Genomic DNA, 26492 nt, shown 5'->3' on the forward strand with positions numbered 1-26492 from the left:
TCTAAACGCGATTCCATATAAATATGGTTAAGAGCTTTAAAAAAAGTCTCTCAACTTATAAAACAGAAATATTCTCAAAAAATAAGATATAAGGAAGAATGTTCACATGATAATTTTATTATCGACACACAATTTCCAAATACTTATTAGTCTTGAAAAAAATGCATTAGATGAGAAATTTGCAAGCAAATTTGTCTAAAATTAAGGATTCCTTTACTAAGTGAATCATTACTCCTGCATCTCATTAGTAAATTCTTTTTATGTTTTATTTTTGTATACTGGTGGGGTGTTTTGTTTTGTTGTGTTTTTAGGGTGAGACAGTTATACTTATTTGGAAAACGTGATGCATGTCCCCAATTTTTCTGGACCGCTCTACAGTAACTGTGGTTCCCAGCCAGAGCGGCATGAGGAGGACTGAGGCCTGACTCTCTTCCTGCGTCCACGTCCCCACGTCCCCACGCCCCCACACCCCTGCAACAGTAAGGCCCTGCTCCCACCCCCGCTGCGTCCCGCCCGGTTCCCCGTGGCATCGCTGCGCTGCCCTGCCCTGGTCCGGCTCTGGGCTACGGGCAGTTGACAGGCGGCGCCCGCGCTCCGCTTCCTGCCCTGATTGGCCCACCGCTCCCCCTCAGGCTTCCCCTATTGGCTGACAGTGCTCCAGCCGCGCCCGCCGGTTGGCCGTTCAGCCGTTGCCCTGGCGACGCCGATGTTGTGGTTCCGCGGCGCGCTGGGAGTTTGGGTTTGGTTGGCTGCAGCCAGCCAGCCGTGTAAAAACTCCAACGCCGGGCGCCGCGGGCAGCACCCACGGAGACCCGCGGGGAGCTGGTGAGCCTGAGCGGGCTGGAGGACAATGGGGGCGCCCACTGTGGTCCCGGGCCTTGTCCACTGTGCGGAGCTCGCAGTGCGGGCAGTGCGCGCCGGGGCTGGAGGGAGGGGACCACCTTGTCGCCGGGTTGGGATGAGCACAGGGCGGGATCTCCAAGCCTGCCCAAGTCCCGCGGCCCCTTGGTTACCTGTTGCTTATCCTCTCTGTACTTGCTGTGTCCCTGGCGTGGACGTGCCTGTACTGGATACCCGGCGTGACGTGCCCCCTCTGTGTGCCCCGCACGCACGTGTCTCTGCTGAATACCCCGCGTGAATGTGCCCCTGCTGTGTACCCGGAGTGCGTACGTCCCTGCTGTGTACCCTGTGTGGACGTGCCCTGCTGTCTACCCGGCGTGCGTGTGTTCCTGCTGTATACCGGCGTGATGTGCTCCCTTCTGTTTACCTGGCGTGGACATGCCCCCTGCTGTATACCCTGCATGGAAGTGCCAGCGCTAGGCGATCGTAAGGCGCCTGCAGGCGTGTCAGGGCGAGGCGTACAGACCGACCCAGAGCGGGCGCGCGGATTTTGCTTTTGCAGCTGCAGCTCCTGGCAACTGGTCAAGCAGGCAGCGTCCAGCGCACCCGCGAACACCAGGTCCGGCAGCATCTGTCTTTTCCCGCAGCGTGCAGCGCCTGACCATGAGGAACACAAGCAAGGAACTTCAGGGCGCCACGCACCGCTACGCTCCCTGCGGTGAGTGCGCCCTGAGCGCGTCCCGGCCAGAAAGAGCTGGGTGCGTGCACTCTGCTTGCTAGACACGCTGTGGACCCAACGTCCTCTATGTGGGCTGGAGGGGGGTGTGAACGATGGAGGACCAAGTGATAAAACTAACAAGTCAAAGAAAGCCACAAACTGCTCCTGTGCCTGAGTGTGAAATCAAGACTTAAATATGAGTGGGGGGAGTCTTGTTTTTCTTTATTTTCAACAAGAGAGAACCAAGGCTACCTATCTTGGTTCAATCTGGAGCAACAGGATCCCTTGGAAATTTTCTTTGTCATAGTTCAACCCTATACAATTCTCACAACTGCGTTCCTGAATGTTGACCTGGGAAGTTTCTTCTCTAGCAGAATCCCCTAGGAATTTCACTGAATCCCTAGCCCTTGCTCCTACTTTAGACCCCAAGCAAGTTAAATATACATTCTGGGTTTAGTGTCTGGATACAGGAAAAGGAATTCAGTGAGGTTCATGTCTTCTTATGTGCCAGGGTTTGAAGTGGAGGAGAGGGGAAGGAAGAAGAAGTCTTGAGATGCTGTCTTCTGGGTTTTTTTTTTTTCCTTTTGCTATTGCTTTTTTATTTGTGAAAGGCTGTAGGAGGGTAGAGAAGAGGGTCCTGGGGATCAGCTGGGACAGCTGAGTTGCAGCTGGTCGGCACCCTGGAGCCAGCACATTTGCTCAGAAGTGAACCAAATGTGACCCTTCTTCATACTCTAAACATGCTGCTAGCCCAGAGCTCTACCTTGTGACCACTATTGAAGATAGTGTGGCCATGCTGGGGATTGGAAAGGGGACAGCACAGAAGGCCTGGCTGATTTGCCTTTTCCCAGTAGGCTCTGGAGCCTTTATGTGACTTCTGGGTGCCTTCTAGTGACCTTGTCTGTATGAACAGCAGTAAGGAACACTAACAACTGCCAGGCACTGTTCTAAGTGCTTTGTATTAATATACACTAACTCATTTAACCTCATAACAATGCTACAAGGTAACATTACCCCCATTTTATAGAGTTTGGAGTAATTTGCCCAAGGTCACACACTTCGTAAGTGGCTCCACAGCTGTTCTGTGAGGCCACAGCAGCCTAAAGCAGGAGCCTGTGCCCCTGCGGGTATGTGAACATATAACACACTGCCTTGTGCCTTAGAGACCAGAAGAGCTGGGGGATCTTCAGTTCATCTCATAGACTGTCACAGACTGTGTTTCCTCACTGATTAAATAAGAGTACTAATATATGGCAAATGAGAAGGCAGGGAAGGCTATATATATATATAAAAAATCTATAGGATAGTAAATGACTGATATTGTACAAGTGCCAACAATTTTTTGCATGATAAAAGCTGAGATAACTCTTAGTCCCTTTAACCCTCTGTGTGTGTGTGTGTGTGTGCGCGCGCGTGCGTGTGTGTGAGGTGGTCACAAATGGTTCTTACTGATCCAGGCCCTCATTCTCTGAGTGCCTCCTTTGTATGCATTTACAAATGGCCAACCAGATTCGAGTTCAGTGCCTGTCCACAGCTTCCAGTAATGAGAAGAAGGTAGAAGACACACTGTTCTCTGTGGATTAATTAGTAATCAAAACACAGAGCGGAAAAATAATGCAACAATCAAACGCCTTCTCTCAAATAGAAAATATTTGAACTGAATATGATCGGAGTATGAAGCTGCTAAATTCTCTTATTCATTCTTAAATTGATTCTCTGTGATCTTTTGTGCAATTCTTTAAATCTTTTCCAATTTTTTTCTTTCCTTTTCGAAACCATATAGTGTTGATTCAGCTATTTAATGTCTTTTACATACTTAAAAGATTGTCTGTATTAAATACCATCCATTAAAAATTCAATGTCTAAGCTTTTAGCTTTAAAGGATGGTTACTTCTCATTTCTCTGTGCTTACATAAATCAATTTATTCAGTACTATTTTCCTGTGCATCTACTGTAATAGTCAGCATTCTCCAAACCAAAATAACCAACAGCATATCCATGTCTATCTTTCTATATACATATAGATAGATAGATAGATAGATAGATAGATAGATAGAAAGGGAGAGAGAGATTTGTTTTAAGGAATTGGCTCACGTAATTGTGGAGTCTGGAAGGTTCGAAATTTGCAGTGCAGACCAGCAGGCTGGAGACCCAGGGAAGAGCTGATGTTGCAGTTTGAGTTTCAGAGTGGTCTGGAGGAAGAATTTCCTCTTTCTGGGGGATCTCATTCTTTTCTCTTAAGACTTTCAATTAACTGCCCACAAAAAGAGTCAAACTCTGTAAAATATTTAAAGAGGTTTATTCTAAGCCAAATATGAGTGACCAAGGCCTGTGACACAGCCCCAGGAGTTCTTGAGAATATGTGCCCAAGATGGTTGAGTCACAGCATGATTTTATACATTTTGGGGGGACAGAAGTTATAGGAAGACATCAATCAATACATGTAAGGTATACATTGATTCAGTTTGAAAAGGTGGGATAACTCCAAGTATGTGTGTGTATGTGGGTGGGGGGTGGTTCCAGGTCATAGGTGGATTTAAAGGTTTTCTGATTGGTAATTGGTTGCAAGTTATTATCCAAAGACACGGAATCGATAGAAAGGAGTGACTGGGTTAAGATAAGGGGTTGTGGAGACTAAGGTTTTTGTCATGCAGATGAAGTCTCCAGGTAGCCAACTTCAGAGAGAGTAGATGTGAACATCTCTTATCAGACCTAAAAAAGTGTCAGACTCAGTTAATTCTCTCCTGGATCAGGAAAAGAGCTGGAAAAGGAAGGGGATTCTCTACAGAATGTAGATTTTCCCCACAAGAGACAGCTTTGTAGGACCATTTCGAACTATGTCAAAGAAGTCTATATTGGGGTAAAATATTTCAATTTCTTTCAGGACCTGCTATCTGTCATGTGATGCTATACTAGAGTCAGGTTGCAATTTGGTCTCTGACTGCCACAGAGAGTCTGTTTTTTCAGTCTTAAGATCTCTGTTTTAATGATAATGCTGGTCTGCTGTGCCTGAATTCCAAAGGAAGGAGGGTATAAGGAGGCACGTCCAGCTTTCCTTCCCATTATGGCCTGAACTAATTTTTCAGGTTTACTTTGGAATGCTCTTGGCTGAGTGGGGGGATTCATTCAGTCAGCTGGCGGGTGGTGGGGGGCTTAGAAGTTTATTTTTGGTTTACTCTGATAGGAGGAAGCCCACCCACATTATAGAGGACAGTCTACTTCACTCAAATTCTACCGTTTTTAATGTTATTTTCATCTAAAAAACTTCATAGACACAGCTAAAATAATGCTTTACCAATATCTGAGTACCATGGTCCAGCCAAGTTGACACATAAAATTAGACATTATACCTACCCAAGAAGAGGATATTGTGTTAGACTCTGAACATACTGCCCCTGTGACAGTACGTTCTGATAAGTGGTATTGAATAGAAGGGGATATTGTGTTAGACTCTGAACATACTGCCCCTGTGACAGTACGTTCTGATAAGTGGTATTGAATACACCCAGTCACTTGTGTCACATTAATTGCATCTTTTGTATCTGACATTCTTCCTGGGTTTTGTTTCTAAAGTTTTCAATCAGGTGTGGTTTTTTTTTTCTTACATTTGGGCATCTGGTTAATCAATTTCAGATTCAAATAGTTACCTAGAACCTCAGTTGTCTGAGTGCCCCAGATCTCTTCTCTCTGTGGGGGTCATCAATAAACACTGATAACTCCAGGTCCCTGGGATTTTGCCAACTCACTTGACAGAAACTCCCAGTAGGACTCCAGGGAGTCTCCTGGGTGGTCCCAAGCCAGCCTGCAGGGCCTGTCCTGGATACCCTCAGCTCAAGGCCTTAGGGAGCCTCATGGCTTCACCAGGCCCATGTTCAGCTCCTCTGTCCACAGCACCTTTCTGCATGGGCTCCAATCAAGAAGGGAGGATGGACAGAGAACCGCTCTCTTCCTCCACTCGATTGTGCCTGGCTTCTTCGTGGGACCTTTTTCAATAGAAATCACACAATCTACACTCACTGTGTTTCAACTTGATCTTTCTCAAGGGAGCCACACCCAGTCACCTCAGGAATCTCTGAATTTCCAGCTGAGATGTTTTTCCATAACACATAAGTCACCTGTTTCCGCCACTTTTCAGGAACCATCTAGACCTCTGGCCACCTTTCACAGCCCTCTTTGGCCTCAGGCATGAGCAAAGCCATTATGATTGAAAACAGTAATTACATATTAATAATAATGAAAGGGACAAGGAGAGAGGGAGAGGGAGAGTGATAAGGTGAGATGAATTCTCATGTGGGGAGTCTGGGTGGAGAGAATGGGGGAACTCACACTGTACTCGCTCATATGGAGAGAGGCTGCCGAGCTGATTCGAGTGCCATTGCTCGGTGGACAGGCCTCTTTGACCACTCCCCAGTCCTACCTCTTCTCACTCTTGTGTTATTGGTAAATGTGTTCAAACAGGCTGTTATTTCTGTGACAGAACTTAGATTTCAGTATTTTTAACATACTAAATTTAGCAAATCTTGGTCAACATTTAGTCATGTATTCCACAGGCTTACCCATAACGTTTTAAGTGATTTGGGATTTTTCAGGAATGTATATTCCCCAACATAACCAGAAATACTGTTGTCTTATTTTTATGGAGGATTAGGAGAGAGAGACAGAGACATCATGGGGCTTGGGTACCTCCCTGGGAAGCGAAAGCACCCATGAAAGAGGCTGAGCCCTAGCAGCTTTCCCCTTGATTGGTGCCAGTGGTGGCATCTTGGTGGGCAGTAGAGACTGGATTGCATAGCTGGTGTTATGACTCACGTCAGTAACCCAAAAGAGGGCATTTTCTTCCTTGCTAATGGGCTCTGTGGCTTGCACTGCCCCACCTGATGGTGTTGTCTGCATAGAGATACTCTGGTAGAGGCCTAGAGGCCACCCCGACACACAGCAACAGTGTGGCCCTCCGCCTCTCTCCTCTATAGATTGGTATTACCACGTCCCAGTGAAGCGCTCTGAGAAGGCCGTGGATGCCCCACCAGCGTCCCAGATCCCAGGTCTCAGCAATTTGGGAGACTCACACAGCGAGAACCTGCCTGGGACTCGGAGATACTGGATAAAAGAAACAGATTCGGAATATGTGAAGCTCGCGAAACAAGGTGGCAGGCCCGGTGAGCCCCCTCCTGCCCTGTTCAGTGTGGCAGCCTCGCGGGCGGTGAGGGGGGCGTTTGTTCCTAATTTCTTCCATATAAAAATATTACTACAGAGTCTGTATGTTTAGCTTAGGGCCTTGGGAAAGCTAGGTTAATTAGGTGTAGGGATGAGCATGATCTCCAGGGATGAGCTAATTTTTATGATGCTAGAATAAATAGGCCAAATTCACAGAATTTCCTGTGTAGGATATTTCTTCTGAGTAATGCCTTTGCGATGATTCAACCCTTCCCTCACCCACTTTATATTCTAATTACAAAGAGAATCTCAGGAAGTTGCCTCCAAGAGAGAATCTGTCTTTGCATGCTACCAATTCTTGTCTAATTGTGAAAAGGTTTTGTTGTTTATTCTCATTGCGGCTTGTCCTTTGTATGAAAACGTTTTAGAAAATGAAGACCATAGAGGAGTTTCAGTGTGATACTGACGAGGACCAAATTTTGATACATGATTTAATTGAGAAAGTACTGCTTAACTATGCTAAAAACTAAGTTATTTGAGCTCAATAGAAATTACTGATCAGAGTCTAAAATGTCTCAGAGCCAGCCTTGTGGTCAGTGACTTGGAGAGACACTAACCTTTTTTCCCCTTTAGCTGCCATTACCCCTGTGGGGATTGTCAGAGAGAAAATGGGAAGCAAAATGGCAACATCTTTGCTTTAATATTAAAAAGCCTGGACCAAACAATTTGATGGACTAGGTGTGATGCTCAGAGAACAAGACCTAGACATTTTTTCTTAGATTCACCTCCTCCTGCTGTTGGTTAAAAGAACATTAAGGGGACAAACTCTGAATGTCTGTAAATCAGATAAAAGAATTGCATCAATAGTAGTTTCCTGAGTGTGATCATTGTGCCATGATTATGTCAGGAATGTCTTTTGGCAGCATCTGCTGAGGTATAGGGGGAGGACTGGGCATTGTGTCTGCAACGCGCTGCCCAGTGATTCTGAAAACAATAACGACAATAAAAATAATAATGAGAGAGAGGGACAGACAAAGAGAGAAAACATAAAGCAAATGTGGTAGAATATTGTTTGGGGAGCCTAGGTCAGGGTATAGGGGAACTCATACTATTCTTGCAATGTTTCTGTAAGTCTGAAACATTTAACAATGAAAAGTGCTTTAAAAGTAAAAAAAAAAAAAGAAAAGTTAAAATTTTCTTACTGATAGTAATAGGTCAACCAAAGTTGTCTGCTACTGCCACAGGCACTGCTATCATTTTGCTGTCCTTATGATCAAGAAAGTCAGTTCTTCCCACTCCCCGCCTTTTGAAACCGGGGGAGGGAAGTGTGGGGAGCTAGAAAGCAAGTGGGTGAGTCCGGAGCTGGCCTGGGCCTCTGAGAAGGAGCCTGTGCTCTCTGTGCCTCTCAGGGTTGGCTCCAAGGTGACTGTGAAATCTCCCAGGTACCTTTCAGGGGCTTGTATCCTACTTCCCATCTGGAAACCTGGAGGTGTGGCTTCTCCTGGAAATGGTAGGGGTGGGGTTAGGGACAGCTCCACAGTGGCAGAGGACAGTCAGACCGTCCTATGCTAGGAGAACGGTGTGGGGGTAGCTGAGGATGAGGGAGCCAGCATGTGCAGCCCCTGGAGACCTGAGCAGTGGAGGGATGGGCCCCCTCCAGGAGCTGGTAGATGCTGGCCTGCATAGATGCAGCTCAAGACCAGGAGCTCTGTCCAGATCTGCAAAGAGTGAGATGTGGGGAGGCATACAGGATGTCCCTGCCTGAGCACAAAGCAGGACGCCCACCTGTCAGCCTGTGCACAGACAGGTGAGGATCAGGGATGCTCTGTTAGTCCCTGGATCCCAGAGGCAACTACAGGGAGACCTACAGTTCGCCTTGTAAATTGAGCCTATCACTGGCAATGCTGTGCGTCTGTGTAGGGGCGGCGGGGTGTCTCACAGCCATGTCATTTTCTCTTTTGAGATTTGTTGAAGCACTTTGCCCCTGGAACCAGGAAAGGCTCTCCAGTGGCCTACTCCCTGCCAGACTGGTATATCCACCACAGCAAGCCACCGACAGCCAGCCAGCAAGAGTAAGTACCTTAAAGCACTCACATTTTTGTTTATCTTTACAGGAAAAAAATAGCCCAATTTTAATTTTAAAAATACAAATGTCTAATAGTGGTAGCAAGCATGTGATATGACAACTTCAGGTTCTCTTTTACAATAGCCTGCTCTTTGAGGGATGTAGCCTAAGTTGTCAGAAAACCAGAGTTCTGGAAACCTGTGGCATTTTGTGCCACCCTAGAGTCTTGTGTCTTTGGGCTCCTTCTCGGTAAATTGCACTGTAGTGTTACCGGCGGGTCTTCGTTCTTAGAGCTTCTAAGATGGTGGCGGGCTGCTTCCAAGATGGTGGTGGGCTGCTCTCAAGATGGTGGCAAGCCTTTTGTTCTCTGACCTGGGGTTCTTGGCCTCACGGATTCCAAGGAATGGAACCTTGGGCCATGCATGAGTGTTATAGCTCTATGAGAAGCTGTGGGTCACGGAAGAGAACCGTGGAACCCAGCGACTAGTGTTCGGCTCCATTAGGACGAACCCGGGCACTTAGCTGCGCAGGAACAATGGCGAGCCTCTAGCCCGATGGGGAGCGTCAGTGGGTGCCTCCCTGGATCAGAAGTGCAGCGGACACTCTGCCGGATCCGGAGAGGTGGAAATTAGCGGCGGGTCTGCAACGGAGGCAATCAGCAGTGGTGGACTGTGAGTGAAAGCTCAGCTCAAGCCGGAACAAACACAGACCAGAAGAGTGTGCAGTTGCGAGATTTAATAGAGTGAAAACAGAGCTCCCATACAATGGGAGGGGACCCAAAGGGGTTTGCCACTGCCGGCTCAAATGCCTGGGTTTATATGCCGATCATTGTCCCTCCCCCTTTGCTCTCAGGCAATAGATGATTGACTATTTCTTTACCTCCCGCTTTTAGCCTAATTGGTATTTTAGTGAACGCTCTTTACTACCTGATTGGTCGGGTGTGAGCTGAGTTACAAGCCCCATGTTTAAAGGTGGGTGCGGTCGCCTTCCCCACCTAGGCTTAGGAATTCTTAGCTGGCCTAGGAAATCCAGCTAGTCCTGTCTCTCAGTAGGACTGACCACATCCTCCTGATGTAGAAATAGCAGCCTATCCCAAAGGGTTCTCATTAAAGACAAAAGGCACTAGGTAAAGCTAGAAATACATGAAATCCTAAATTTCTATGTTCAATATTGAGATATGGGGAGCCATCGTTCCCATAATATTTGAAATGTCTAAGAAATTTCTATTTGTGGACATGCAAACTTTATCTCCAGAACCACCTGTCGTGGATTGAGAGGTAAAATGAAAAATCATTTCAGGCCATTTCCCCATTTTTTTGGCTTGAAAATAGGACTACCACAAATATATTTCCAAGTGGTTATCCGGTGTTACTTGAATGTTCTGCACACTGCCACATGGACTTTTTCTTCCCTTCCTTCTGCTTTTTTTCTTCCAGACTGTTGGTACCCCTGTCCCTTTGCTGTCTCCTCCCACCCCATATGTCCTTACCAATTGTCCAAGCCTTCTAGGATGATCTACTTCTGGGGCCTTCAGTGTTTTCCGTCCTCCTGGGACCTTGTCCTCCTCTGGACCGCAGACCACCTGCTCCAGGTCCTGGGACAGGCAGAGGATGAAGAGTGGGAAGCTCAGGAGAAATCCTTCCTTCACTGAAAATCTGGGAACCCAGGAGCTATAACTTAACATGCTTTTTGTTTTTAATTGTCCCTCCCTTTGTTGTTTTCAATGCTCATCTGTTTCTGTGGGCTTTTTCCTGCCGAGACCACATCAGAAGTGGGAGGCCTGGGGAGAGGTGCCGCTTTTCACACCTGTGCTCCCTGAGCAGCTCAGCCACACTCATGGCTTCTCTTACTGGGTATCTGCGTCCACCTTCCAAGCCTGCATTTCCAGCCTCTGACCGCTGCTCTCTGGCCTCTTCACTCGCTCTCTCGGAGGCCCCCAGCCACCTCCTTCAGGTGCTTTGCTGCAGTGGTGCCCAGTACCCCACGCCTCGACCTTGCCCTTGGTGCCCACTTTGCAGCTGGGGCCTTTTTTCAGCATCCTGGAGCCCTGAACAAGTACAAATGAGGAGCAGGACATGGGGGCATCCCTGCAGCCCCTCAGACACTGCATGGGGGGTTTGTGTTGCCGTGTCAAACTTGAATCCAGTGTTCTTCCCTGTTCAAACCTGGTTATGTGTACAGATGGTACCTTCAGGGATCTGAAGGCTGAAGCATTCTAGTGCCTTTGGATGCCCCTCCTGTGTGCGCTGCCTATATGGGAAGACTGGTTGCTAGTTTAAATACTCACATTAAAAATGACCATCCAACAGGAAACAGAGCATGTTATTATTATTTTAAATGAACATGTTAAATGGTAAATGTTTAGGGGTGTTTAGCTATTTTAAGGGGTCAAAGTGGTAGATGCTATCCTAAAAGAAATAATTATTTTATAAGGTACGTTTTATAAATTCATATTTTAGTATATCTCGTTTTACTAACGTTGAGACCTTGTGATTTCTAAGTGGGCCTCCTGATCCTGGGACGCAGGGCCTGGAGGGGTTGGTGTGTTGTTTAGCAGGCACAGGAGGGAAGGGCCCGTCTGTGTTTTCAAGGAGAATGGGTAGTGCTGATGTCAAGAGAGACGGAAGAGAAGAGAATAAGGGAGGGAGAGAAAGAGAAAGAGAGGGAAAGAAGAGGAAGAGGAAAAGAGAGAAAGAGAGAGAGCAGGAGAGGGAGAGAGAGGGAGAGAGAGAGGAGAAAGGAAAGGAGGGAGACAGTGAGAGAAGGAGGGAGACAGAAGGAGGGAGGGAAAGGGAGAGCCAGCGATGGAGATGGAAGGAAGGGAGGGAGTGGAAATGGCTCTGAGCACCAGGCTGTAACTGGTGTCTGTCCTTGCAGAGTGCGGGCTGTCTCCATGCCGGATTACATGGTTCATGAAGAATTTAACCCCGATCAAGCCAATGGTAGCTATGCATCCAGAAGAGGGCCCTTCGACTTCGACATGAAAACAGTTTGGCAAAGAGAGGCTGAGGAACTTGAAAAGGAGAAAAAAAAGGTGACGGGAGCCCATAAATAGACGGCATCCGCATCCGCTTTGCTTCTGTGGTCTCGAGTAATTAAGTGCTGTGATGTTAGCTGCTGGTGGCGTCTTATGTTGCTCGTGGCATCGGCCACGTGCTCTGTATTTTAAGTTTGGATCTACTAAAAGGCAAGCAGGCACCATACTATGGTCTTTCTTTTTCTTTTTATGAATAATGACTTTAAGAGGTAAGATTTCTTTTTGCTAAATGATTTATAGATAGTTAATGCTTATCTAGAGGAAAACTGGCATAGCACTTCTTATCAGGCCAATATAGAAAAGGAATTTTATATTTAGTCATCCCATTTCTGAATATTTTCATTTATTTAAGTATTAAGAGTTTTCTGGGACACTCTTTGTTGATAATAAAGGAAGAGAAGATGAATTCTCTTCTGTATGAAGTCCTGGTGGTGTATTTGATCACAAAGGAGTGACTGGCTGTGCAGTGAAGCCTTCTCAGAGGATGTGTATTTTAAGAATGCAATGGAGAAAGTTGGAAGCAATCTTGAATTGCCAGCTCTGTTGTTGGGAAGTCTTGACAGGAGGACCTTCTATCCCCTTTCCTTGGTGCTGGAAGGAACAAGAGCCAGGCCTTCAGCTCCACCAAGGGCTCAGTGTTGCCCGGGGCATCAGCACCAGGTCTCAGATTAGTCTCAGTTCTTGCAACTTCAGGGTTTGTGAGTGAAACGGTGAAGTTCATATTACAAATAACAATAGTGTTTGATACTGAGAATAAGAGTGAACACCGTTGTCACCTGATGGGTGATCATTTTGAACAATGAAGAGACTGGATGTGTCTCAGCGTACGTGGAAGTTGTTGTGAACTATTTATGCCTGATTCCTAGGCTGTTGCCTTAGCATCTTGGTTTGAAGGGAAACCCCTCAGTTTATTTTGGGGACTTGAGTAGCTGAACACCAAGTGGAATGTCAACTGGCTGCAATGGGCCACATGCTTTTTCTTTAAGATCTCCATGTCCGGCTGTGATTCAGATTTTGGGTTGTTTCCATGATCCGTGCAAAGGCATTAGACCTTTTATTGTTGTTTTTTTGTTTTTGTTTTTTATTTTATTTTTTTAATTAGAGAGAAGTTCTCGCTCTGTCACCCAGGCTGGAGTGCAGCGGCATTATCATAGTTCACTACACCCTCGAACTCCTGGGCTCAAGGGCTCCTCCTGCCACAGCCTCCCGAGTAGCTAGGTCTACAGGTGCATACTACCGTAGACACTCAGCCAAAATGGACCATGTTAAGAATTAGATTTATCTCTTAGTGTTGCACAAGTGACCAATTACACTGAGCTACAACCTCTAGTGATAAATGAACCTTTGGATATTAACCGTGGCTACAGCTCATTTCTACAGAAATCTTAAAATGCTAAATGCTGTATCACTCTCAAATCAAGTGGGGTTTTTAAGTTAGTACCCATTTACAAAAGGTGTGCTAGGGGCTACACAAAGTTCCTGAAGCCAGCCCTTCACTATGGGGAAGGAGATAGGATGACAAGGGGTGGTGGTTAAAGACACACATGCTGAGTATTTAACAGGTAGAGGGACATGGTGTCGGGTAAGGTGCAGGGGATGAGCACCGCATCGGGATGGGCTCTGATTTCCCTAATAAGACAACACCATCACCGCTTTGGTATGAAGGTCACCTATGAGTGATGATCACATCATGGGCGTGGGCCAGCTGACAAAGCGCTTCCTCAGCTGTGCCCTGGCCTCACACGGGACACATGGTGGACACCTGACAAGACTTAGGGCACATGTATTGCCTGTTGGTTACCAGCATTCATGGGGGTCTTGCTCACCTACAGGGTGATCGGGGGATCTTGTTTCTTTTTTTTGAAAAGCCATCTTTTCTTCCTATAATTGTTAGCAATACCTCCGTGGATTTTGTTTGCTTCGTTTTGTTTTTTCCCGTTTTCCCATAGCATGTATTTCTATTTCTTTTAATAAGAAACAATTTAGGTAGAGCGAAACCCACCTTTTATAGAGAACTGCTCCCCAGGTTTTGACTAAGGCGTCCCTTGTGTACCACCACAGCTGTCAAGGAACATATAGCAGTTCTGTTGCCCCCAGCATTTCTACCCCTCTTTATAGTCAGCCTCTCCCCTGCCCCTTGCAAGCCCTGATCTGTTTTCAGTCTTTATAGTTCTTCTGGACAGTGCAGGAACATCGCCATCTTGGACAAGCCTCTCATTCTAAAAGTTCACCTTAAAAAAAACCGCCTAAATCCAAGGGGCATCAGCCTAATGGCTAAGGTCAACACGACCATGAACCATAGGTAACATCTCCAACCAGAAACATTCCAAACTCCTCCCTGACCAGAGACATGGTAGCCCCTAAATAAGCTCTCTCCAGCCAGGAAGATGCCAGGCCCGAGTTAACCCCCCTCCGGGCTGAAAGATGTCTGCACCAAGATAACCTCCCCTCCTCCCAGAGAGATTCCAACCCAGCCATGAACTTCTCCACACACATAAACATTCCAAGCTTCTGATAAGCCCCCTCACCCCAAAACTGATATATACTTTTAGTCTGTAAGAGAAAGTGCTCCTGACCACAATCAGCCAGGAGTGCCTCTCAGGTTTTAACTAAAGAAAACCTGTCTTTGACTGCCACGCCGCATTTCGTGTTTCTTTCCTCTTTCTTTAATTCTTACACTTCCTTTTCCAGAATGTGAAATCAATGGAATCATACGGCATGGCGTCTTTCCTGCTTGGCTTCTCCCATGTGGTGTAATGCATTTACATTATGCATCTACATTACATACGCATGGCCATGCTGTTCTGAGTGTCAGTAGTTCATTTGTTTCTGTTGCTGAGTTTCATTGGCTGATCATGATACAATTTGTTTATCCATTCGTTTGTTGGTGGACATCTGGGTTGTTTCCAGTTCTGGGTGATTATTACAAAAGCGTACAGGTGCTTTTGTGAACATATGTTTTCATCTGGGTGTGGGAAGTTCCTTCAGGACGAGGCTCTTAGTTCATTGTTTTTCCTCCTGAGCAGATGGCATCTTTACTCAAATATAGCAACTGCTTTTGAGTTAGTGATAGTCCCTTTTACATAACTATTTTGTTGAATGAGATTATTGCTGAATTATATTTTATTGTGAGCATTTACAATGACCACATTGAAAGTCCAGCCTATAAGCTTTGTATCTTTGCTACCATTAGTGAGTTTTCTTCTCTAGCTGTTGAATGCTTTCCACTAACTCAAGGTTTTGTGTGTTTCCTCACACAGCTGAGGCTACCGGCCATTGACTCAAAGTATCTGAGCAAAGCAGGCACCCCACTTGGCCCTAAGAATCCTGCAGGAAGTAGACTCTCCTTCCCCCCCGTGTAAGTGCTTGAGCTACGCCCTCACTGTCTGGACTGGGTTTGGGTTTGGCCTTCCGTCTTTCATCCGGTGATGACTGCGCTAGTGACAGCATCCACACAACTTCCCGAAGCCCTGTCTGTGGCCTGGCCTGGCTGTGCCTGTCGCCTCCTCACTGTGGTTTCTGTTCCTTCCTAATGTCATTTTGCCCCTGTTGAACACATCTGCCCTTCCAGGTCATGCTTGCTGCAGGTTGGCAGTGTGGAGGCTCTGCTTCTCCATCAGGCTGTGCCCTGCCTGAAGCACTCCCCCTCCAAGATACCACCCTCACCACAGTTCACGGGGACTGCTTGTCCTGCATGTAGGGGCCACCAGGTCCTGACGTTTCTGTGTCCAAGGCCTGAACTGAGGTGTCCGCGCCTTGTAAGCGTGCTGGCTCTGTTTCCAGTTGGAAGATATAGCAGACACACTGACATTTGCTGATCCTCCAGCTGCAGAGTGAAATCCCTGAGGCCTTAGGTGTCTTCTTACTCTCCCAGAATCCAAGTTTAATGCTAGGATAAATGTTATTAATTACCTGACTAATTCTTCAAACAGCTTCTTGTCCAATGGGGAAAAAACAATCAGATACATTGCATTGTGACAAATGCCATGAGAGCACCAAGCTCAGAGGGAAATATACATGTATTCATATGTGTTTATATATATGTAAGTATATATGTATACCTAGACATGTATTTATAGATGTACGAGAGAGAAAATAAAGCATTAGGAGTGGCCTTGATAACAAAGTGATTGAACCCCTCCTGGGCGCAAGAAATCCTCCCACCTCAGCCTCCCAAGTAGCTGGGGCTATATGCATGCACCACCACACCCAGCTAATTTTTTATTTTTTGTAGAGACAAGATCTCACTATGTTGCCCAGGCTGGTATCAAACTCCTGTGCTCAAAAAATCCTCCTGCCTCTGTCTCTCAAAGTGCTGAGATGGAGGCTTAGAGAGAACAGGTGGTGGGCTGCTACTGCTCGAGCTGAAAGCTCACACTACCTCTACCGTGTCAAACTGCCCTGTCACTCTTCAGTGTGGGTCAGGATAAGATATTTGAAGATGCAGTAGATGGTGAAAGGCTAAGCTAACATCAAGAAATGACTGGAGACAAACCTGTGTAAGAGAGTAAAATAGCAGCAGATAATCATTGATAAGGACAAGAAAGAACCAATAAGAAAGTAATCATTACACTTTTTTTGAGATGGAGTCTTGCTCTGTTGCCCAGGCTGGAGTGCAGCGGTACGAACTCAGCTCACAGCAGCCTCCACCTCTCAGGTTCAAGTGATTCTCCTGCCTCAGCCTCCCAAGTAGCGGGACTATAGGTGCCTGCCACCACAGCTGGCTAATTTTTTTTTTTTTTTTTTTTGGAGACAGAGTCTCACTCTGTCCCCCAGGCTGGAGTGCAGCGGCGCAATCTTGGCTCACTGCAAGCTCTGCCTCCCGGGTTCATGCCATTCTCCTGCCTCAGCCTCCTGAGTAGCTGGGACTACTGTGTGGGCTAATTTTTTGTATTTTTAGTAGAGATGGTTTTTCACCATGTTGGCCAGAGTGCTCTCGAATTCCTGACCTCAAGTGATCTGCCCGCCTCGGCCTCCCAAAGTGCTGGGATTACAGGTATGAGCTACTGTGCCCACCTCCCTCCCTCCCTTCCTCCCTTCCTTTCTTCCTTTCTTCCTTCCTTCCTTCCCTTTCTTTCTTTCTCTCTCTCTCTCCTTTCTTTCTTTCTCTTTTTCTTTTCTTTCTTTTTCTTTTCTTTCTTTCTTTCTTTCTTTCTTTCTTTCTTTCTTTCTTTCTTTCCTTCCTTCCTTTTCTCTTCTCTTTCTTTCTTTCTTTCTTTCTTTCTTTCTTTCTTTCTTTCTTTCTTTCTTTCTCTTTCTCTTTCTTTCTTTCCTTCCTTCCTTCCTTTTCTTTTCTCTTCTCTTTCTTTCTTTCTCTCCTCTTTTTTTCTTTCTTTTTTTTTTCTCTCTCTCTTCTTTCTTTTCTTTTTTTTGAGACAGAGTCTCGCTCTGTTGCCCAGGCTGGAGTGCAGTGGCACGATCTTGGCTCACTGCAACCTCCGCCTCCCAAGTTCAAGCAATTCTCCTGCCTCAGCCTCCTGAGTAGCTGGGACTACAGGTGCGTGCCACCATGCCCAGCTAATTTTTGTATTTTTCGTGGAGACGGGGTTTCACCAGGTTGACCAGGATGGCCTCGATCTCTTGACCTCATGGCTGCCTGCCTTGGCCTCCCAAAGTGCTAGGATTATAGGCGTGAGCCACGGCACCCAGCAGTTTGTTGTTGTTTTTTGTTTTGTTTTTAAAGGTAGTTCTGAGCAATCCATTACTATGAGGGAAGGGCATGGTGTTTTCTTAGGAAGGCTTCCCTGTGAAATACTAGAATTATTACTAATTCTTAATTGACTATCACAAAGAAAGATTTTGGAAGCTGAACTAAACATGCTCTCATCCCTGTACAAGGGATGCTTTGACATGCACTTGCTATGCTTAAAAATGGAGACAGTGAGACAGAGAAGCAGAGGGAGAGACAAAGGGGCAGAGAGAGATAGAGGGAGAAAGAGAGAGGGAAAGACAGAGAGAGAGAGGTTTGTTAGGTTTAAAGGGACAGTGACACCTCCTATTTGGTGTGTTCACGGAATACTGCTTCTGCTTTATCATTAACCCTTGTACTTAAGTTTCACATTACTTTTACTCTTTTTAAGGCCTGGTCAAAAAAACAGTTCACCTACCAATTTTTCCAAACTCATTAGCAATGGTTATAAGGATGAGTGGTTGCAGCAGCAGCAGCGAGCTGACTCAGACAAGAGGACCCCGAAGACCTCCAGGGCATCAGTGTTATCTCAGTCCCCACGAGACCTGGAAGGTCCCCAGGATGCAGCCAGGCTCCAGGATGCAGAGGCTTCTGAAGGTCCTGAGGACACCCCAGGTGAGGCACAAGCAGCCATCTGCATTTATTGGAGGCTTGGTTAATTGTGATGCAGCAGCTGACGTTCTTATCACATGATGCGTCTCGTAATGAGAAATGAGTAACCCAAAAACCATGTGAAAACGCCCACAGAAGTACTAAGGTTACAGATAAGCAAGAGAGTAATACATGTTTTGCTCTTTCCTCTTTATTCAAATGAATAGCGGAAGTCATGACTTTTGGGGTTTCACATTTTCTTTTATTTGTCAAAAATTTTGATAGTCCATTTGATATAACAAACAAATAATATACCAAATAGTATCAACTTTTAATCTTCCAGATCCAAACAATGTTGACCCTAAAAGGACTTTTGCATAAGCAGCCGGTACTTTTTGAGATCACTTCTTAAAAAGCTTTGAAAATAAGTCAAAATTCAAACTTAAAATTACTCCATTATTGGCATGTCTTAAGCTTTGAATAATTTAGAACTTTCTCCACAATTAGATGTTCAAAGTACTATATTAGTTTTTATTTATTATAATATTTTATTTTATTTATTTATTTTTTGAGACAGAGTCTTACTCTGTTGTCCTGGCTGGAGTGAAGTGGCACAATCACAGATCACTGTAGCCTCAACCTCCTGGGCTCAAGCGATCCTCCCATCTAAGTCTCCCAAGTAGCTGGGACTATAGACATGCACCATTACACCCAGCTATTTTTTTATTTTTCATAAAGACAAGGCCTCACTATATTGCCCCGGCTGGTCTCAAACTCCTGGGCTCAAACAATTCTTTTGCCTCTGCCTTGCAAAGTACTGAGATTACAGGTGTGAGTCACTGTGCACAGCCATTCATTTTTATTTTTAATAGTACAGAAAGAATTCATCTTATTTTTTCAACACATCCATCTTAAAGCCTATTGACATTGTGTTCAGTATCCATAGCTCTATTAATTATTGACCATTTGCTTCTGGGAAACCTGTTTTTACTCTTGAGGCTTGAGCTCTTTGATTAAGAGGAAAGATGGCGTGTTATACCTCTTCAGACATTTGAAGTGTTTGGTGTGGTGTGGTTATTTGTAAGTGAGGTCACCGTTTGCCATTCTACACCCTGTTCCTTACTGTATTTGTTGAACAAGATCTGCCACTTATTGGCCAACTCTCTCCTTTATTATCCTGGAAGATGAGATGGTGACAAGTTCATACTCAGTGTTGTTAAAAAGCACCCTATTGGCTGAGCATGGTGGCTCACGCCTGTAATCCCAGCACTTCGGGAGGCCGAGGCAGGCAGATTACCTGAGGTCAGGAGTTCGAGACCAGCCTGACCAACATGGAGAAACCCCGTCTCTACTAAAAATACAAAATTATCTGGGAGTGGTGGCACATGCCTGTAATCCCAGCTACTCGGGAGGCTGAGGCAGGAGAATCACTTGAACCCAGGAGGCGGAGGTTGCGGTGAGCCGAGATCGTGCCACTGCACTCCAGCCTGGGCAACAAGAGGGAAACTCTCTCAAAAAAAAAAAAAAAAAAAAAGGTTTGTTGCCCTATTGAACTTTACAATGTCAAGAGTGTTTTATGACTTATTGTTGTTTTAAGTAATACAGAATTTTCATTAAATCTTTAAGTAATTATGACTTCTTTTAATACTTGATCTGTTTCATTAACCTGAACAACGAATGTACTTTTTATTACAGAGTCTTCTCAAAGTGAGTACTTATAAAGTAACCAGCACCAAAACACAAAAAGTCTTACACAAAGAAATTGATGGACATAGTCCTGCATTCTGAGACTACAGCCTCTAGGCAGCCTGGAATGTCCTTCTCCAAACTGCATGCATTCTGACTACAAAGCTTGTGCCATGTATGCTTTAAAAAAATCAGAGTTCCAGAAACTTAACTTAGGGAGAGCAAAAAGAGGATCGCTTACACAATTACAACAGGATGAAGATGATGATGATGATGATGATGATTATTATTATTATTATTATTTTTTTTGAGATGGAGTCTCGCTCTGTCGCCCAGGCTGGAGTGCAGTGGCGCGATCTCCGCTCACTGCAAGCTCCGCCTCCCGGGTTCACGCCATTCTCCCGCCTCAGCCTCCCGAGTAACTGGGACTACAGGCGCCCGCCACAACGCCCAGCTAATTTTTTGTATTTTTAGTAGAGGCGGGGTTTCACCGTGTTAGCCAGGATGGTCTCGATCTCCTGACCTCGTGATCCACCTGCCTCGGCCTCCGAAAGTGCTGAGATTACAGGCGTGAGCTACCGCGCCTGGCCTATTATTCTTTTATTCATGTTACACAAGCAAAAACATACTTTAGTTCATGGACACACATTGTATTACTCGTCATGTGAGAGTCATACTGGAAAACATAAGTAAAAAGCCATCGGAGACTCCAATTTATTTTTTAGTTTACTTTTTATTTTATTTTAAATCGACAGATAATAATTGTATACAACTATGGGGTGCAATGCGATGTTTTGATATATGTATACATTGTGGCATCATTAAATCAAGGTAACTAAAATATCCATTACCTCAAATACTTACCCTTTTTTTGTGGTGATCACACTTAAAATCTGTTCTTTTAATGATTTTGAAATATACAATATATTATTATTAACTTTATTCACCTTGCTGTGAAATAGATAATTAAAACTTAACTCCTCCTGTCTAAGGGAAACTTGGCACCCTTTGACCAACTTCTCCTCTTACCCCATCAACTACTGCCCCATCCCCAGCACCTGGTAACACATTCTATTCTACTTCTATGAGTTCAATTTTTTTAGATTCCATATATGGCTGCAATTATACAGTATCTGTCTTTCTGTACCTGGCTTATTTTACTTAGACTAATGTACTCCAGGTTCATCCATGTTGTCACAAATGACAGAATTTACTTCTTTTTTAAAGGCTGAATAGTGTTCCATCATGTATATACCACATTTTTTTTCCTTATTCATCTGTTCATGGCCAGTGAGGTTGATTCCATAGCTTGGCTATTGTGAATAATGCTGCAGAAAATTTGGGAGCGCAGATGTAGCTTTGTGACATACTGATTCCATTTCCTTTGATATATGCCCAGCAGTGGGATTGCTATATCATACGAGAATTCGATTTTTAGTTTTTTAAGGAAACTCCATAATGTTTTCCATTATGGCTATTCTAATTTACATTTCACCTTCAGTATGTAAGGGATCCCTTTTCTCCACATTATCATCAACACTTGCTTTTCATCTTTTTGATAATAGCCATTTTGACAGGTGTGAGATGATATCTCATTGTGGTTTTCATTTGCATTTCCCTGATGATAGTGATTTTGAGCTTTTTTGTATATACCTGTTGGCCATTTGCATGTCTTCTTTTGAGAAATGTCTATGTAAGTCCTTTGCCCATTTTTAAATTGGATTATTTGTTTTTTTGCTACTGAGTTGAGTTCCTTATACATTTTGGATATTAACCCCTTATCAGATGTATGGTTTCCAGATATTTTTCCTGCTCTGTGGCTTGTCTTTTGTTGTTTGTTTCTTTTGCTTGCAGAAACTTTTTAATGTAGTCCCACTTATTTTTCCTTTTGTTACTTGGGCTTTTGGTGTTCTGTCCAAAAAATCATTGCCCAGACCAATGCTGGGGAGGTTTTTCCCTATATTTTTTCTATAGGTTTAGCATCCCAAATCTGAAAATCTGAAATCAAAGGAAATGCTCATTGGAACATTTCGGATTTTGGATTTTTGGATTTGGGATGCTCAACCAGTAAGTATGCAAATATTTCAAAATTTAAAAATAATTGAAATCCCAAACACTTCTGGTCCCAAGGATTTCAGATAAAGGATACTCAACCTATAGCAGTTTTACAGTTTCTGGTCTTTTGTTTAAGTCTTCATCTATTTTGAGTTGATTTTAGTATATTAAATGAGATGAAGATCCAATTTTCTTTCTCTGCATGTGGATATTCAGTTTACCCAGCATCATTTATTGAAGAAACTGTCCTTTCCCTCATTGTGTGTTCTTGGCACCTTTGTTGAAAATTAATTGACTGTTAATGTGTGGGTTTATTTCTTGGTTCTATCCACTGATCTATACTTCCATTTTTATGCCAGTACCATGCTGTTTTGCTTACTCTAGCTTTGTAATATATTTTGAAATCAGATGATGCCATATATCTGTTTTTTTTTTTTTCTGTTTGCTCAAGATTGGTTTGGCTATTCAGAGCCTTTTGTGGTTCCCTACAAATTCTAGGATTTATTTTCTATTTCTGTGAAAAATGTCATTGGAATTTTGGTAGGGATTGCATTGAATCTGTAGATTGTTTTGGGTAGTATGGACATTTTGACAATATTAATTATTCTGATCCATGTATGTAGGCTATGTTTCCATTTATCTGTGTCTTCTTCAATTTATTTCATCCATGTTTTATAGTTTTCAGTGTACAGGTCTTTCACCTCCTTGGCTAAATTTACTCCCAAGTATTTTTTAATGCTGTTGAGAGTGGGATTGTTTCCTTACTTTCTTTTTCAGATCATTTGTTGTTAGTATATAGAATGCTACCAATTTTTGTCTGCTGATTTTGTAGCCTGCAACTTTACTGAATTTGTTTACCAGTTTTCACAGTTTTTTGGTGGAGTCTTTAGGGCTTTCTATATATAAGATCACATTGTCATCAAACAGAATATTTCACTTGTCTCTTTATAATCTGAATGATTTCTATTTATTTTTCATGCCTAATTGCTCTGGCTAAGACTTCAGGTACTAAGTCAAATAGAAGTGGTGATAGTGAGCACCCTTGTATTTCTCCTGATCTTAGAAAAAAAGCTTTCAGCTTTCATTGGTGAATATCATATTAGCTGTGGGCTTCTCATGTATGGTCTTTATTGTGTTGAGGTACATTTCCTCTATGCTTAATTTGTTGAGAGTTTTTTTTATCATAAAAGGATGTTGAACTTTGTCAAGCACTTTTCCTACATCTATTAAGGTGATCATATGGTTTTTGTCCTTCATTCTATTATGTAGTATATCACATTCTATTAATGTAGTATATCACATTTAATGATATATTATGTAGTATATTAACATTCTATTAATGTAGTATATCACATTTAATGATTTGCATATGTTGAACCATCCTTGCTTACCAGGGATAAATTCCACATGATCATGGTTTATGATCTTTTTAATGTGCTGTTGAATTTGGTTTGCTAGTATTTTGCTGTGAATTTTTGCATCTATGTTTATCAGGGAAATTGGCCTGTAATTTTCTTTTCTTATAGTGTCCTTGTCTGACTTTGGTATCAGGGTAATGCTGGCCTCATAAAATGAGTTTGGAAGTGTTCCTTCCTTTTCAATTTTTTTGGGACAGCTTGAGAAGGGTTAGTATGATTTCTTCCTTTACATGTTTGGTAGAATTCACCAGTGAAGCCATTATGTCCTGGGCTTTTCTGTGATGGGAGAGTTGTTTTTTTTTTAACTGATTCAATCTCCATACTCATTCTTAGACAGTTCAAATTTTCTATTTCTTCATGATTCAGCTTTGGTGGATTGTATGATTCTAGGAATGTATCCATTTCCTCTAGACTATCCAATTCGTTGGTGTATAATCCTTCACAGTTGTCCTTTGTGGTCCTTTGTGTTTTGCAGTATCAGTTGCAATGTCTCCTCTTTCTTTTCTTATTTTTTTCAGTCTTTTCTTTTTTCCTCTCTTAGTCTAGCTAAATATTTGTCAATTTTGTTTATAATAAAAATACTACTCTAACATTTTTTATCTCTTCTATCTTTTCTTCTGCTAACCTTGGGCTTAGATTATTCTTTAGGACCTCAAGTTGAAAATACAAATACAGCAGGTACAGAAGATCACCTTCATAAGATATGATAAGGGTTTTATTATTCTGCATTGTCTTAAGAAGATAGAATTTACTTCACCATTGACAAAGTATTACATATTATCTGATCAAGGGACGATCATTTGGCATTCATATAAATGTATAAACTTTATATTGCAGGTGTTATGTAATCTTTGTGTTTATATTATCAGCAAGATCTGTTCAATTTTGAAGAAACCTTTTAACGTTTCAAATTAATGAAGGCCTAAATAAGCAGCAAAGCCCCTAAGAGCTGGAAGAATCGTCATGTGGAGAAGAGGATCTGCTCTGCTTAGTTTCTGGATAGCTGAGGCGGGGGTCACTATGAAATGCCTGCTCCCACCTCTCAGTATCTCTGATGCCAAGGCTAGTGCTAGAGCTTTTGACAACCACACTCTCTCCACTGTCAGTCTGACCACTATTTTCCTTCCTGTATTTCATTTCCTCTTCTGTTTTCCTATTTCCCCTGCTGTCCCTCATGGTTTTAACTTTATAAGCAATAGGCAATTTAGAAAGTGCCTTTTTTCCTTCCAACTAGACATCTCTCCACTTAGAGTGTGTTGCTATAACTTTCTGGAGACTAATCTTGTCAAGGCTTCTTATTTTATTTTTTTGAGACAGGGTCTTGCTCTGTTGCCGGGCCTGGAGTGTAGCGGTGCCATCATGGCTCACTACAGCCTTGACCTCCTGGGCTCAAGTGATCCTTCTGCCTCAGCCTCCTGAGCAGCTGGGACTACGGGTGCATGCCACCATGCCTGGCTAATTTTTGTATTTTTTGTAGGGACGAGGTTTCGCCATGTGGCCCAGGCTGGTCTTGAACTCCTAAGCTGAAGCAATCCACCCACTTCAGCCTCCCACAGTGTTGGGTTTATAGGCGTGAGCCACCACACCCAGCCTAAGGCTTCTTCTTAATGTTTCTTTCCCTCCATGAGACACAAGATTATTATTATTTCTTTATTGCAATTTTTTTCAGCTGTCCTAGATGTTTTGACGTGCCCTAAAGCTGGGCATTAGGAAACTGGTACACTACTGTACTTTGAGAGGGTCAACATTAATGAAGATTGCAACAGGCTTGGGAGCAGGGACACGTGCCATGCCGAGGCTGACAGACAGCCTGAGTTGCCCCTCTTCTCTACTCGCCTTGCCCAGGCTGTGCTCATACTATTTATTTAATAATTCTTATCGGTGTGCTTATGTCAGCAGAAACTTTCCACCATACACAGGCAAAACTCATGAATTGAACTGTTTCCAATGGGGCATTCTCTTCTGGTCTACCAGTGCAAAAGTTGTAATCTTGTGTTTCCAATGTATTATTTATGCCAGGATCATAAGCTCAATTTTTATGTAGACTTCAGAAATAATCCTTATTAATAGGTACAAAACTATGTGTTTTCTTATATTTAAAATTAATGTTTTTTAATTTATAGAAAATGTCATCTTTGTCTACTCATTTATTTACTTTGTGTTGCAGGCCCAGAAGAATCTGTATCTGCATCAACACCAGCAGAGCTCAAATAAATCCTGATGCAATATGTATTTAGGATAATTTTTAAATGGCTAAATATGACATGACTGTATTATAGCTATATTTCTGAGGCTTTTTTTGTATTTTATTAATATAGACTCTCATTGAATAATTTACCTTGCAGCAGATTTGACATTGCTGCATAGAAGGGGCAGGTGTTGGTTTTTGTTTCTTGCATTTCTCTGGGATGTGAAACACTTGGCTAACAAACACAACTAAGGCCTCTGGTACCCTCTGCCCTGCTGGCCTGGTGATGTCCCAGTGTCTCAGAACTGATCACTTGCTCCTCCTATTGTGTGAACCACTCTTAGCAGGCATTGCTACTGGATTCTTAACTAGAGAAAACTTACAGAACAGGTGTTAAGCCTTTTCCAATATTTAGTATTGTAGTCTTCATAGAAATCATTTCTAGTTACAGAAAAATTTAACTCCAGAATATGGTGATACAGTTTATGTTAAGAAACATATTTTAATTTATTATGCCATGAATTTATAAACATTTAATATAAAACATTATAACATTTGCTGTTTTAAAATTTTTGCTATTTTTTCACAAACTGATATTCAAAATATTAAACATTTGTTATTTTGTATAAACCTTTAAGTAAAAATATGCTGTTTTAATATTTAATTTAGTAGAATTAACAAAAACTTTTTAATAGTCAAACTGAATTACCTTGTTTTATAAATGTTAAATTGTTTATATTTAAGTAATTAGCTTAAAAATATAGTTTTATGTTTTGTACATTAATTGATTAATAAAATAATAATTTTATGTGAGAATGTTTTCAAAAAGCCAAATAAAGTCACAGATATTTTAGCTTCTTTCCCAGAATAAACTTATCATGCATTTGCTTACCTAAAATTTAAGTTTCAAATTAGTTCTCTATATGAGATACTTAATCGAGCATATATATTTATATTCATTGATCAAACTGATATGCTACAGGAGAATGTATGCAATGTGTAAAAAATGCAAATGGCTGTATGCATTGAATAAAAATAATATACAATTAGA

The 26492-nt window shown here is 43.1% G+C and overlaps 2 protein-coding genes across 11 annotated transcripts in view, besides 5 other annotated features; one reads left to right on the forward strand and one right to left on the reverse strand.

Annotated features, from left to right (window-relative positions):
* Nucleotides 1–1097, reverse strand: part of SUN3 (Sad1 and UNC84 domain containing 3) — a 48755-nt gene extending 47658 nt beyond the window's left edge. The window contains exon 1 of one of the 2 annotated variants that reach the window (XM_017011930.2): nucleotides 1014–1089. The gene's annotated coding sequence lies outside the window, so the exon portion shown is untranslated. Of the gene's footprint in view, nucleotides 1–1013 lie in introns of both variants that reach the window. The other variant, XM_047420114.1, reaches the window with a different exon arrangement.
* Nucleotides 617–896: a silencer, noted in NCBI's record as "silent region_18171". NCBI's record gives its function as "represses an Ori minimal core promoter by ATAC-STARR-seq in GM12878 lymphoblastoid cells {active_cell/tissue: GM12878}" and the evidence as "EXISTENCE:reporter gene assay evidence [ECO:0000049][PMID:35858748]".
* Nucleotides 738–26492, forward strand: C7orf57 (chromosome 7 open reading frame 57). 9 transcript variants are annotated; one of them, NM_001100159.3, is made up of 9 exons: nucleotides 738–825; nucleotides 1403–1558; nucleotides 6529–6714; nucleotides 8676–8784; nucleotides 11655–11811; nucleotides 15075–15172; nucleotides 17895–18118; nucleotides 19790–19801; nucleotides 25421–26492. In NM_001100159.3, the coding sequence occupies exons 2-9, from the start codon at nucleotides 1504–1506 to the stop codon at nucleotides 25465–25467; spliced, it is 888 nt and encodes a 295-aa protein (NP_001093629.1). In that variant the 5' UTR covers nucleotides 738–825; nucleotides 1403–1503; the 3' UTR covers nucleotides 25468–26492. The 9 variants fall into 9 exon arrangements, with proteins under 9 accessions (NP_001093629.1, XP_011513423.1, XP_047275841.1 ...); XM_011515121.3 differs by having other exon boundaries at nucleotides 1488–1558; XM_047419885.1 differs by lacking the exon at nucleotides 19790–19801.
* Nucleotides 3884–4385: an enhancer, noted in NCBI's record as "OCT4 hESC enhancer chr7:48078286-48078787 (GRCh37/hg19 assembly coordinates)". NCBI's record gives its function as "activates a minimal SCP1, AML or CMV promoter by ChIP-STARR-seq in primed H9 embryonic stem cells {active_cell/tissue: H9 hESC(primed)}" and the evidence as "EXISTENCE:reporter gene assay evidence [ECO:0000049][PMID:30033119]".
* Nucleotides 6677–6854: a silencer, noted in NCBI's record as "fragment chr7:48081079-48081256 (GRCh37/hg19 assembly coordinates)". NCBI's record gives its function as "represses an EF-1alpha promoter that drives an FKBP-Casp9 reporter gene in an ReSE screen in K562 erythroleukemia cells {active_cell/tissue: K562}" and the evidence as "EXISTENCE:reporter gene assay evidence [ECO:0000049][PMID:32094911]".
* Nucleotides 13553–14752: an enhancer, noted in NCBI's record as "P300/CBP strongly-dependent group 1 enhancer chr7:48087955-48089154 (GRCh37/hg19 assembly coordinates)". NCBI's record gives its function as "activates an origin of replication core promoter dependent on BRD2, BRD4, P300/CBP, MED14 and CDK7 cofactors, with strong dependence on P300/CBP, by STARR-seq in HCT116 cells {active_cell/tissue: HCT116}" and the evidence as "EXISTENCE:reporter gene assay evidence [ECO:0000049][PMID:35650434]".
* Nucleotides 14888–15388: an enhancer, noted in NCBI's record as "H3K4me1 hESC enhancer chr7:48089290-48089790 (GRCh37/hg19 assembly coordinates)". NCBI's record gives its function as "activates a minimal SCP1, AML or CMV promoter by ChIP-STARR-seq in naive H9 embryonic stem cells {active_cell/tissue: H9 hESC(naive)}" and the evidence as "EXISTENCE:reporter gene assay evidence [ECO:0000049][PMID:30033119]".

Source organism: Homo sapiens, chromosome 7, assembly GCF_000001405.40.
Source record: "Homo sapiens chromosome 7, GRCh38.p14 Primary Assembly".
NCBI lineage: Eukaryota > Metazoa > Chordata > Mammalia > Primates > Hominidae > Homo > Homo sapiens.